This window comes from Homo sapiens, chromosome 6, assembly GCF_000001405.40.
Source record: "Homo sapiens chromosome 6, GRCh38.p14 Primary Assembly".
Taxonomy (NCBI): domain Eukaryota; kingdom Metazoa; phylum Chordata; class Mammalia; order Primates; family Hominidae; genus Homo; species Homo sapiens.
The window spans coordinates 67,011,993-67,026,819 of NC_000006.12; positions in this window are offsets into that span (position 1 = coordinate 67,011,993).

The window sequence follows — 14,827 nt, forward strand, 5'->3', positions numbered from 1 at the left end:
TCCAAAGGGCAACAAATGCTACATTCAGAACTGTACAACCACATAGTAGTTGATTGATAAATATTTGTGGACCAGTGTATACCTACTGAATATTATCAGATAAAGTCCCAGCTATCTAGACCCAAGTTCCTTTCTGATGCAAACACTGAATTCTGCTCAAGCCTTACCTCTCACATTGTTTTTGTGTGTTTCAACCACACTGAAATAATTGGAGTTCACAACATCTCCCTATATGTCTATTCCTGCACATACACTCTTTGGATATTATAGAACACTTCTTACAATATTCACCCAGCCGAAACATTTTTTCTTTGTAATACTATATGTAAGCTATGATTCAGTTTCCTAGTTAAATATTTATTTATTTTTTATAATAAAAATATTTCCTAATACCAAAACCTAGTTTAGATGCCACTTTTTTCATTTCTGTAGCAAAACAACCTGTGCTTACTGAAATAAGTATTCACAAAATGAATATAAATGGCAAGTTTGTTTGTATTCCTTGTTAAATAAAGTTTATCTGTGCTAGGGACTATATTTTGCTCATTATTACATCCTAAGAACTTAACACAGTGACTTGCAAAGAGTAAATATTCAATATCTATTTAATGAGTAAATGGAAATAAATGTACCTAGTACCTAGGTACTGAGTACCTAGTAGACTTAGTGTAAAAAATTACAAATTAATCTTATTGCATTTAAGAAATACATAATTTGGCCTATGTTTTGAGATTTAAGGTATGGAATCTACATTTTATTTATAGTAAATTTCATTATAAACAAGAAGCAAATGTCATTTCAAAGGCTTAGAAGTGATAGGACATTTTTAAAATGTAGAAATATAGTGTTAGTGTTTGGTCATTAGCAGGTGATTAGATTGTCTAAATTTATAAAATTCACAGATTGAAGGGTTAGCTTTTATAAGAAACTATCATGCTGATTTGTCTATTTTAATCAGCATGTGTATGCTAGTCACATATTGTTACAGACAGTTTTCTTTCTTTCTCCTTCGTTCCTTCCTTCCTTCCCTCCTTCCCTTTCTTTCTTTCTTCCTTTTTTTTTTTTTTTTTTTTTTTTTGACAGAGTCTTATTCTGTTGCCCAGTCTGGATTGTAATGGGACAATCTCGGCTCGCTGCAAACTCCTGCTCCCTGGTTCAAATGATTCTTGTGCTTCAGCCTACAGAGTAGCTGGGATTACAGACACGTGTCGACACACCTGGCTGATTTTTGTATAATTAGTAGAGACCTGGTTTCACCTCGTTGGCCAGGATGCTCTTGAATATCTGACCTCAAATGATCCCTCCCACCTCAGCTTCCCAAAGTGCTGGGTTTACAGGTGTGAGCCTTTGTTCACAGCCGAGACAATTTTCATCTATTAGAGTGATTTTTATCTGACATTCTGATCTAGTTCTCTTGCTCCTTAGAGATAAGAAAGAAACAACCAGCTAAAATATACAATACATTCTTATTGCAATTTGTTTTTTTATTACATTTACAACAGCTTCTTATGTAACTCTGTCTCATTACTTGGTTGGATACCAGATTGCTTAGTCAAGAACGGTCTGACTGGCAAGGAGTTTCCTTAAAATTCATACACATGAAAATATCAGATTTGCATTTTTTGAATGGAAGCTTCCTTTAGTTGTATAGCAAAACAAAGTCTATTCTAGAAATAAATATGTCATGTTTATTTCTACTAAATATTCAGCCATCACAATTATTTTAATTCATTCATCCTCCTTTTCATAATGTTACTAAAAGTATATCACATTTTTAAACAATACATCACTCTTATTTTGTTTAAATATTTGTGCATAATTTCACACACCAAGATTGTGCAAGAATAAGAATTGTACTAAGGGAATCTGTCTACCTTTTATTCAGATTCACCAACTATTACCTTTTACCCCATTCGCCTGATCTCTTCTCTTACTCTGTGGATTTCTGTTTCTCTCTCCCAATATTTGAGGTTAAGTTGCATAGACCATGGCCTTTTCTCCTAAATACATGTTTGTAATTTCTCAGATACTAGTATTGTTTTTTACAAAATCACAACGTATTTATCTTTTCAGTAAATTTAATATTGCTTCAAAATTTTCTATAATATGCCATCCAAATTTCAATTTTGTCAAAAGTTGTATAATTTTTATATTTTTTCTCTCCAATACAAGACTCCATCTAGGGACAAATATTTTTATTTAGCTGTCATGTCACTTTAGACTTCTTTAATCTGGAACATTTTAAAAGCCTCTTTTTGTCTTCCACTGCTATTTTTTGAAGAGCACTGTTCTCTCCTGCCAGTTGTTTCTCTTTTTTCTTATGATTATAAGAAGATTATGCGTTATTTCCTGGATTGTAATCTGTGGTGTTTTGTTCTTTTCATGGAGTTATATCTGAAGTCACACAATGTCTATCTCTTGAATTGGTAAAGTTAATTCTGATGAGTTTATCCAGGTGTTCTTTGATTTCACCACCATATTTATACTGTTTATTTATTCTCTTGTACCAATTAGCAGATTGTAGAGAAAGTCTTCAATAGCATACAGATAACCTGTTCCTCATTATAATTTCCTCTTACATATAGTATCTATTGATGATCCTTGCTTGATTCACTCTTAATATGATGGCTGCAAAATGCTGATTTCCAACTCTGGAATTCTTTCCTTTATACTCTCAGTTATATATTCATATTCTTATGTATTGATTTATTATATGTATGAATTAACACATTTACAATTTTAATTGCTTGTCATTCATTGATATATTGAATTATTTTGGTTCTCAAATTGTCCCAGATTTGAACAGCAACAATTCCCACTTTATTATTATTACTTTGTTATTACTATTATTATTATACTTCTGGCATCAGACATTACAGGTTTATATGTCATATACCTTGGCTCTATAAGAGACATTTTTCTTAGGATCTGTGGTTTCTCTTGGTCAAGTATGTTACTAGTGACCAAGGTTCAGGCACTTGATATGCTCATTGCTATTGGAGTGTCATTATGTCTTGACCTTTACAGAGTATAGAGCTTGAAAATATATGTCTTTTTATAAACATATACATAAGTCATATATACAAATGTACATCACTGGCACAAATGTACATAGTGCACAATGGCATGGTCCTTTTCTGCTTCCTGCACTTCATAGTTGTCATTTCTTCTTCTTCAGTGAGAACCTTGGATCCCAAATGTATCAACACATACCATTTTTTGCTCAACTCTACAATACATCTAAAATTGTTTCAGAATATTTTGCCCATCACATTACAAAAGTAGACTTCCTAAGAAGAGTTGAAGATTTATTTGCAACCACCACTTCCACCAAAGACTTACAGTATATTACATATCGTCAAATATTATTTTCATACATTACTTGAGTTTTTTTTCTTTTTCTTTTTCTCTCTCTCTGACACTCCTCTGTCTATCTCTCTGCTTTTCGGTCTATCTCTCTCTCTTATTTTTCCTTCTTCAGTGTGGTGATAATATTCATTCGAAATGCATTTGCACGGCCAGACCCAGTGGCTCACACCTTCAATCTCAGCACTTTAATACAGCGAGACCGTGTCTTTAAAACAAATTTAAAAATTAGCTTGGTGTGGTGGCATGCACCTGTAGTCCCAGCTACTAAGGAGACTGAGGTGGAAGGGTCGCTTGAGCCTAGGAGATCAAGACGGCAGTGAGCCGTGATGGTACCACTGCACTCTAGCCTGGGTGACAGAGAGGGACCCCGCCTCAAAAAATAATCGATTAATTAAAACTAAACTAAAATAAAGTACATCTACCAACATTAAGTTTACCTTTATTTCTACATGATTTTCCTTTTCATTATTATTGATTTAAATTAACTCAATATTTTTAAATATGTAGAATATTATCGTGATTACAAAAGTCAAAACAAAAGTAAAATAAGGGGTCTCTTGTACCTAATTTCTCCCAATTCCTTGTAAGTAACCAATTTAGTTATCAATTTTATTACTACTGTACTTTTTTTTAAAGATAAGTGTGTGTATATGTGTATACACACATACATGTGCATGCTATCTTACTTTTCTTTCCTTTTACAAATGTGTACACACATACACACACACACACACACAAACACATTTGGTATTCTTTTTACTTCACAGTGTCTCCTGGAAATAATTTTACCTCAGTTCACAGGCCTTCAATTTTTACAGCTGGATATTATGATTGTACATTCTAAGTTGTGTGCATGTAACATAGTTTAGTACTCAATCTCCAATGATTGGTTTCTAACATTTTGCACTGAAAAATACTGCTCTACTGAATTGTGTTTGTGAATCTTTATGTTTTCGGAGTTATATCTGCAAGGATACGACTAAGAATGAGATTGGTGATTGGAAACGTTAGAGCACATGAAGAATTTTATTAGATATTGCCAAATTTCTCACCAAAGAGATTGTATCTATTTTCATTTTAGCAGTCAAAGTCTATGACTGTCTGATTTCTCACAGCCTTCCCAATTCTCAAGCTTCTGATATTTTGCCAATGCCAGCAGTGATAAATGGAATTTCAGAGTACTTTACGTTGCCTTTCTTTCATTAGGAGTGATGTTGAACATTACTTCATATGTTTATGGACCTTTTTATATCTCTTTTGGTGGATTGCTTGTTCACATCTTTTCCTTATTATCTATAATATTTTTTGGCTTTTTATATCAATTTTTAAAATTTCCTTTGCTGTGGTGAAACTTTTTAAATTGATAAAATCCCATTTGTCCGTTTTTACTTTGGTTGCCTGTGCTTGGGAGATTTTACTCAAGAAATCTTTGCCCAGACCAAGGTCCTGGAGTGTTTCTCCAATGTTTTCCTCTAGTAGTTTCAGGTTCTAAACTTAAGTCTTTAAACTATTTTGGTTTGCTTTTGTATATGGTGAGAGTTTGAGGTCCAGTTTCATTCTTTTGCATATGAATATTTTCTTTTTTCAGCATCCTTTCTTAAAGAGACTGTTAACTAAATGAATAAAAGAAAATCCACAAAGGAGAAAAAAAGTATTTGCAAACTACCCATCTGACAAGGAATTAATAACCAGATTATATAAGGAGCTCCAAAAACACTCAATAACAAAACAAAACAAAAACAAAACAATAACAAAACAATACAATTAAAAGCTGTGAAAAGATCTCCATAGACATTTCTCAAAAGAAGACACATAAATGGCAAACACATGTATGAGAAAATGCCCAACGTCACTAAGCTTCAGAGAAGAGCAAATCAAAGAAAGCTACAATGAGATATTATCTCACTCCAGTTAAAATGGCCTTTTGTTCAAAAGATAAGCAATAACAGATGCTGGCAAGAATGTAGAGAAAGGGGAACCCTCATACACTTGTTTGAAATGTGAATTAGTGCAGCCACTATGAAAAACAGTATAAAGGTTTTTCAAACAACTAAAGAAAGAACTACCATGTGATCCAGCAACCCCACTGCTTGGTATACATCCAAAAAGAAAATAAATCAGTATATTAAAAAGATATCTGCACTACTATGATTATTGCAGCACTATTCACATTACCCAAGAAGTGGAATCAAACTAAGTGTTCATCAAAAGATGAATGGATAAAGAAAATTTGATATATATGCACAATGAAATATTATTAAGCCATAAAAAAACAACGAAACCATTCTTTTTACAATAACATGGATAGAACTGAAGGACATTATGTAAGTATAAAGAATAAGATTTAGTGTTTGGTAGCACAACAGGGTGACTATAGTTAACAATAATTTATTGTATATTTTAAAATAACAACAAAAATGGAATTACAACATTCCTAACACAAAGAAGTGATAAATGCTTGAGGTGATGAATATCCTAACTATGCTGAATTTGATCTGTGCACGTTGTATACTTGTTCAAAATATCACATGTACCTCATAAACATGTCTGATTATTACATATACATAATAATTAAATAAAAATGATATTTTCTATATTAAGACTAGTAATCCTGTATTTGTGATTTACATTGCAAATATCTTTTTTGCATCGTTATTTGTCATTTGATTTACTTCTGGTACTCTTCACCATCACAGTTTTATCTTTATTTTTACATAGTCAAATCAACCAATATTCTTTTTTTAATTAATTAATTAATTTATTTTATTTATTTTATTATTATTATAGTTTAAGTTTTAGGGTACATGTGCACAACGTGCAGGTTTGTTACATATGTATACATGTGCCATGTTGGTGTGCCGCACTCATTAACTCATCATTTAGCATTAGGTATATCTCCTAATGCTATCCCTCCCCCACCCCCCCACCCCACAACAGGCCCCGGTGTGTGATGTTCCCCTTCCTTTGTCCATGTGTTCTCATTGTTCAATTCCCACCTATGAGGGAGAACATGTGGTGTTTGGTTCTTTGTCCTTGCGATAGTTTGCTGAGAATGATGGTTTCCAGTTTCATCCATGTCCCTACCAAGGACATGAACTCATCATTTTTTATGGCTGCATAGTATTCCATGGTGTATATGTGCCACATTTACTTAATCCAGCCTATCATTGTTGGACATTTGGCTTGGTTCCAAGTCTTTACTATTGCAAATAGTGCTGCAATAAACATACATGTGCATGTGTCTTTATAGTAGCATGATTTATAATCCGTTGGGTATATACCCAGTAATGGGATGGCTGGGTCAAATGGTATTTCCAGTTCTAGATCCCTGAGGAATCGCCACACTGACTTCCACAATGGTTGAACTAGTTTACAGTCCCACCAACAGTGTAAAAGTGTTCCTATTTCTCCACATCCTCTCCAGCACCTGTTGTTTCCTGACTTTTTAATGATCGCCATTCTAACTGGTGTGAGATGGTATCTCATTGTGGTTTTGATTTGCATTTCTCTGATGGCCAGTGAAGATGAGCATTTTTTCATGTGTTTTTTGGCTGCATAAATGTCTTCTTTTGAGAAGTGTCTGTTCATATCCTTTGCCCACTTTTTGATGGGGTTGTTTGTTTTTTTCTTGTAAATTTGTTTGAGTTCATTGTAGATTCTGGATATTAGCCCTTTGTCAGATGAGTAGATTGCGAAAATTTTCTCCCATTCTGTAGGTTGCCTGTTCACTCTGATGGTAGTTTCTTTTGCTGTGCAGAAGCTCCTTAGTTGAATTAGATCCCATTTGTCAATTTTGGCTTTTGTTGCCATTGCTTTTGGTGTTTTAGACATGAAGTCCTTGCCCAAGCATATGTCCTGAATGGCAATGCCTAGGTTTTCTTTTAGGGTTTTTATGGTTTTAGGTCTAACATTTAAATCTTTAATCCATCTTGAATTGATTTTTATATAAGGTGTAAGGAAGGGATCCAGTTTCAGCTTTCTACATATGGCTAGCTAGTTTTGCCAGCACCATTTATCAAATAGGGAATCCTTTCTCCATTGCTTGTTTTTGTCAGGTTTGTCAAAGATCAGATAGTTGTAGATATGTGGCGTTATTTCTGAGGGCTCTGTTCTGTTCCATTGGTTTGTATCTCTGTTTTGGTACCAGTACCATGCTGTTTTGTTTACTGTAGCCTTGTAGTATAGTTTGAAGTCAGGTAGTGTGATGCCTCCAGCCTTGTTCTTTTGGCTTCGGATTGACTTGGCGATGCGGGCTCTTTTTTGGTCCCATATGAACTTTAAAGTAGTTTTTTCCAGTTCTGTGAAGAAAGTCATTGGTAGCTTGATGGGGATGGCATTGAATCTATAAATTATCTTGGGCAGTATGGCCATTTTCATGAAATTGATTCTTCCTACCCATGAGCATGGAATGTTCTTCCATTTGTTTGTATCCTCTTTTATTTCATTGAGCAGTGGTTTGTAGTTCTCCTTGAAGAGGTCCTTCACGTCCCTTGTAAGTTGGATTCCTAGGTATTTTATTCTCTTTGAAGCAATCATGAATGGGAGTTCACTCATGATTTGGCTCTCTGTTTGTCTGTTGTTGGTGTATAAGAATGCTTGTGATTTTTGCACATTGATTTTGTATCCTGAGACTTTACTGAAGTTGCTTATCAGCTTGAGGAGATTTTGGGCTGAGACGATGGGGTTTTCTAGATATACAATCATGTCATCTGCAAACAGGGACAATTTGACTTCCTCTTCTCCTAATTGAATACCCTTTATTTCCTTCTCCTGCCTGATTGCCCTGGCCATACACTTCCAACACTATGTTGAATAGGAGTGGTGAGAGAGGGCATCCCTGTCTTGTGCCAGTTTTCAAAGGGAATGCTTCCATTTTTTGTCCATTCAGTATGATATTGGCTGTGGGTTTGTCATAGATAGCTATTATTATTTTGAGATACGTCCCATCAATACTTAATTTATTGAGAGTTTTTAGCATGAAGGGCTGTTGAATTTTGTCAAAGGCCTTTTCTGCATCTATTGAGATAATCATGTGGTTTTTGTGTTTGGTTCTGTTTATATGATGGATTACATTTATTGATTTGCATATGTTGAACCAGTCTTGCATCCCAGGGATGAAGCCCACTTGATCATGGTGGATAAGCTTTTTGATATGCTGCTGGATTCGGTTTGCCAGTATTTTATTGAGGATTTTTGCATTGATGTTCATCAAGGGTATTAGTCTAAAATTCTCTTTTTAAATATTCTTAAATTGCATTTGAATTTTAGCTAGAGTTAGAAAGCCTTTATCTATATCCAGATAATAGATATAATTACCCATGTTTTCTCCTGGCAAAACAAAAAAAAAAGGTTTGATCCCAAATCCATTTGGAGTTTATTTGTGTGTATGGTGAGAAAAACTTTAACTTTTTACATAATTTAGTCATTAGTTCCAATATTATTTATTTACCAAAAAAGCTATCTTTTCCTTAGTGGCTTGAGATATAATCATTATCATAGTTTGTATATATCTGTATATATGTATCTATATACATATATACATGTATATATATCTGTAGATATGTATAAATATATGCATATATCTATATATAGATATATATACACATACACATGATACATATGTAGGTCTATATATCATTATATTTGTGCATATGTGTGTATATATGTATGTACTATATATATTTTATATATATATATATATATGTACTGCAGTTGAGTCTATTTCTTGACTTTATTTTTGATTCTATTATTTTTCTGTGCATTCCTGCTTCTGTTTTCGTTGTAGTGGATTTGTGCCATGCTTTAATTTTTCATAAGACTAATTGCCTTCATAGATCTTCCTGTCCACTATTTTCCTAGCTATTCTTATGATATCACAGTGTTCAAAAGCCATTAAAAAAGTGAAATGTTATTTTTATTTATAATTGTCCTTAATGACTACATATCTTATGGTCAGTGTTAATTCTTAGAGACCTCACATAGCCTTTCAATCTAAATTAAGCCTGAAATGTCTTAATTTATTACATCTTGTTATTCACAAAGTATATGTCAATGTATATAATTATATGCTTGTTTGTGAAACCATTTACTACGTGTTTTGCATTACCTGCACACTTCTGACCCATTCTCTACTTTTCTCTCATAAACGCTTCATTGCATGTAAGTGACAGAAATTTTAGTTCTGTTAATCCTACTGTACATTTCATTGACTTTTTCCTTCAGTTGGCACTTGGTGATTGTCATCACTTCTGGGTTAGAATCAGAATACAAGGGGCAAATCATGGGAAGTGCCATGCAGAGCTGTAAACTCTTGTTTATCAGCACACATGGAAAACCTACATGTCACTGCAATAAATAATGAAGGAGCTTTGAAGAAGTATAAGGATTCTGCAATAGCAAATGAGTGAACAAGTCAATGAGATGTACAGTAGGATTTACAGAAATAAAATTTCTATCACTTATTTGCAATAAAGCATTCATGAAGGAAAAGTAGAGAATGAGTCCTAAGTTCCTACTGAGTCTATGAATATCCAGGAAGTTAGATGGTAGAGGGCATGGAGGATAAATTGAGCTGTGAATTTTTGAGTTATTGCTATCACCACTGATATCCAATACAGTTCACTACTGTCTGCATCCTTTCCAAATTCAACATGGTTTCTGTCTCCGATACATTTGAAGAATGCAATGCTGTAAAATGAAATCCAGTTTAAAATATCATTAAAAAGGCCAAATTGCAAGAACATAATGGCACTAGAGAAAATAAATCAAACAGAAAAACAAGTGGCTTTGAAGAAATATATTAGTACCAGTATAAACATTAATTTGTCTAGTCATCATTGCAATTAGCAGGTCTTAGCCTTGGCTTGTATAACGTATATATTATCATCCTATTTACTCAGATCTCAATGGAGGGGATTTTCTTCTAAAAAACATATTAGAAGAGTATTCCCTTTGAAAGAAATTAGACGTTATTTCTCAGAATTAAGTGAGTAGATAAAATATATCTTACTTACTTGTTACCGAATTCTACTTAGTGACTTTTATTATTGAAGAAGATTGAGTCTTGATTTCTATTACATGAGAAGGGAAGTTAACAGTTTTTAACACGCATTGTATATTTTAATATTCAAAGTTCACAAAATACTCTACGTGACAAATATTAGCATGTGGCAGAATTAGAAATTGAACAAATCTTGACTTTTTTCAATGTCAATGTCCTCTTCTCTATAAAATATTGTTTGACAAATATTATGGCATAAAATGTTTATGAGTTATCTCACATAGTCTTATTTGTATTTATTAAGTTACTTGAATTCTTGAAAGGGAAGTGCTAGACTTTTCTTTCAGTTATTTCTACTGAATGTGGCAGAGAATTCACAGTTTCTAAATAAATTGACAAACACAAATGAATTAATAGAAATTAATAGATCATAATTTCCTCAAGTAAAAACCTGAAGAGTATATATACAAGTAACCCTAATTAGAAAAGATCAATTAGCAGACAATAAATGGTTTGGGGTCTTAAGCAACATACTAAAATTTTGACAATTTCTACTATTCCAATGAGAGAGATTAAACCATAGTGAAGGATACAGTAATTATGTGGTAAATTTGTATGTTTCACATTACAATTTAAAAAGTGATACAAATAAAATGGCTTCAGAGACTTGGTTGATGATGTCAACAGACCTAGTGTGTTGAAAGATTTCAATAATGCTTATTTTATTTTAGTTTCATGGCATACATCAGATATGCCACTTTAACAATTCAATTAATTAATAATTATTTAGCATTCAGCTATAAAAAGCACAAGCACAGATTCATAATATATAATTTAGACTAATCATCCTATATTCTTCAGTTATTGCATTTCAGGAAAGAGTAATATTATAAGAAACATTAAGGTAGACACTTGAATTAAAATGAGTATTAATTCTATGACAAAGAGTTTTTATTTTTTAAAGTTGTGTTTGTGTGCATATGTGTGTGTCATTTTATCATTTTAGGCTAATACCATTTTGGTAAGAGCTGTTTGTTTGAAGGGTGCTTGGGAGGCCAAGATTTTTTTTTTTAATAATGGAGTAGAGTAACACCAAATTTCAGGCTGAATTCATTACCTACAGTTACATTCTCATAGGTTTTTGACTTAAATTTATTCTTACCACAGGTAATTGTCTTATTTTCCTCATAAGTAAACAGAGCATATTAGAAATGTCTCCTTAATTACATGATAAAATAATTCACAAAGTAGTATGATTGTTTTGACTCTGTTGCCTAGAGAAATAATTTAGTAATTGGTACATTAAAAGATTTAGGAATTTCTTTGAAAACTAATATTGATAGTATAGCTATGTGCTAAATCTAGATGACTGAAAGAACCAGAATTTGCCAATTAAATGGATCATTGTGGACTCTTATCAGTAGCTTGGAACAGTCAAAGTAAATGAGTTACATTACCCATGGACAAGGTAACAGAAGCAATGCATCAGTCAAATCAACGGTGATCAGGTACACTAAAAAACAATCAAATTAATCTGGTAAACTCTGTTGTATTTCAGTTGTTTCAGCTGTGTATATCTTACATTTGCTCTAGAAAGTAGAATTTGCACTGGGAGAATCAGGCTAATTAACTATTAAATACTTTAGGGTACAAAAATTCTAATGCTTCATTTCTTATGATAAAATTTAATAAAGGACAGAAATTAGCACAACATTAATCTATCTAGTGACAGGGATTGAAATATAAATGGGAACTGGAAAAGGTTTCCAACTTGTTATAGACTTCAGAGTTTAGTTCAATATTATTCTCTATTTTTATATTTCTAACCTCAAAATTATATAGCCTCTTGAATTGTTATGACATATTGGATTTATGTATTTATTCCTACATTTACGGATTAGCTTTCTTGGATTTAATATCTCTTGCAAGAATATCTGACACTATATGTAAAACATTATATATAAACAGATACAAATATATAATTGAAAATGAGGGAAGCAGAAGAAGCCCTGGAAGGAGAGTAAAGGTTAACCTTGCCTCAGGATAAGTAACTAAATGACGTTCTGAACCTAGAAAGGTTGGGCAACATGGTAAGACTCTATCTCTACAAAAAAATTAAAAATTAAGCAGGTGTGGTGGCACACACCTGTAGTCCCAGCTACTTGAGAGGCTGAGTGGAGGATTGCTTGTGCCTGGGGGGTTGGGGCTGCAGCGAGCTGCACGCCAGCCTGGGCAACAAAGCGAGACCCTGTCAAAAAAAAAAATCCTAACAGATCCCATGGTGTTTTGATATGAATCCTTTTTTAAATTTTATTTTAGATTCTTATGAGTTATTTTTAGGCTGCCAAACAAATCAGAGTAAGAGAGTTTCTGGAATTATTTTATCTTGTCTTCTCAATGTATTAGACAAGATTTAAACACAAACAATTATTGAGGAATCTTCAATTCTGTAATCTAGCAGAGAGAGGTGGAGTGGGATAAGGGATATTCTAAAAAAGGAAGAATTCCTGATGTAGGGATAACTTTAATAACTAAAAGTGAATTTATGAAGTATTATGTCTTGGTAACAAAAGCAAAATCTAAATCACTACTTATTTATTGTTATAAATGATTACATTTACTTTCCAAAACTGTTAGATTTGAAGATCAATTATATGTCCCAGGTTGTCATATGGTAACCATAAATTTAAATTTTAAATTAATTATAACCCATTTTATGCAAACATAATGGTTGTCACATGACATAATTCATTTCAAATATAATTATGTGACATTTTTATTCAATAATTAACATTAAATGCATATCTTCAAATTAAAAAAAATCAAGGTTAAAATAGATTAGAACAGGCAGAATTCTGCTGAGTTTTGCAATATTCTAATCTAGTGTGATTGGTGCAAAGCATATCTCCAAAATCTTTCATTAATTAATCAGACATTTTACTCTCTCTCACGGAAGAATTTCTAATGTGTTTAGTGACTCCCTCCAAATTTTAAATATGCAGATTTTTGGAAGTCTTATTTTTTTCAAAGAAAAGACTAATTCTGTAATTATTAAGACAAGAAATATATGGTCATTAAAAACATTTCTTATCTTGTCAAGGATACTGATTCAAAAATGTGTTTACCATGATAAGCAGCCAAAAGGGAAGGAAGAATGAAAATAATGAAATAATAATAAGAAAAAATGGGAAAAATGTGAAATATCCAACCTTAATTTTGAAGGAACAGATAACCATTGTACTTACAGAAACTGTAGGCTTTAAGTACATATGACAAATGTAGAGAAACCTGAAAGAGTATGTTTAAAAAGATGGGGAAAAGAAGATACAAAAATCTGATCTTTTCTCTAATAAATTTGTGGTATATATAATCTCACAATGAATTACAGTTAAATCACTTTACTAAACAGGACTTATAATAAAATAAGAAGTAAGTTAAATACTTATATGCATTTCTTCGACTATAGAATGAACACTAGCTGGCATCCACTGCTTTATTCTGCATAATTATATCTTCTCTATTTTTTTAGTACATTCCTTTCTCCATACATCCTCACCAACTCCAAGTCACACAGACATTCTGCTTCTAACATGGCTTAAATGATTTTCTCAATCTAAAATATTCTCCTTTTTTTGCTTTGTCCAAAATTATTCTTTTCCTGCAATGTTAGAATTATATCTCTTCAACCTATCTTCATTTTTTCTTCCCCAAGTCTCAGAAGGACCATTAACCTCTCTTTCACTTAGGTCCTAAAATATCTTAGTATTTTGCACCTATACAATAGTATCCATTTAATTCTGTCTTGGTTTTTAATTAGTTATATACAGAATTTTCTTCTCCTTTTGACTATAAATTTAAACTATATTAAATTATCTATTTTCAAAGTAAGGTATTTGGTTTTATCTTTGTATTACTAACAACACTTACCATCTTGCAATGGTTATGAGGATTATAAAAATAACAATATTAGCTAACATTTTAGTGTAGTGCTTACACCATTCCAGGCACCATTCTAAGGGCCTTACATATTTTCATATCATTTAAAACTTATCTAATACAATTGGCATTATCAGTAGTGAGTTTTAGGTAAAATGTTGTAAATCATATTAGACATCTGCCTTAAAGTATATAGCCCACTTAACAGTTGAGATTTTGTCTGTCATGAAAAGTCAATCTTAAGTGAGATGTATTAGAAGAGACGAACTTTATGTTAGATTAGGATACAGCCTTTAGATAGGGTCAATGCACATCTTGGCCATTACCTAGTTGTGTGAAAGAACCCAAGTTCCTTTAATTTTCTTATTTATATTTCCCTCAATGTGAAAAATGATATTTTTCTAATGGACCTATGAGAAAAGAAATATTATGCATTTAAATAACTTCAAATATGTTAGGTATAGGGTATACATTGCAAAATCCCACCCATTTTTATTGTTGATATTTTTGTTTTTAAATATT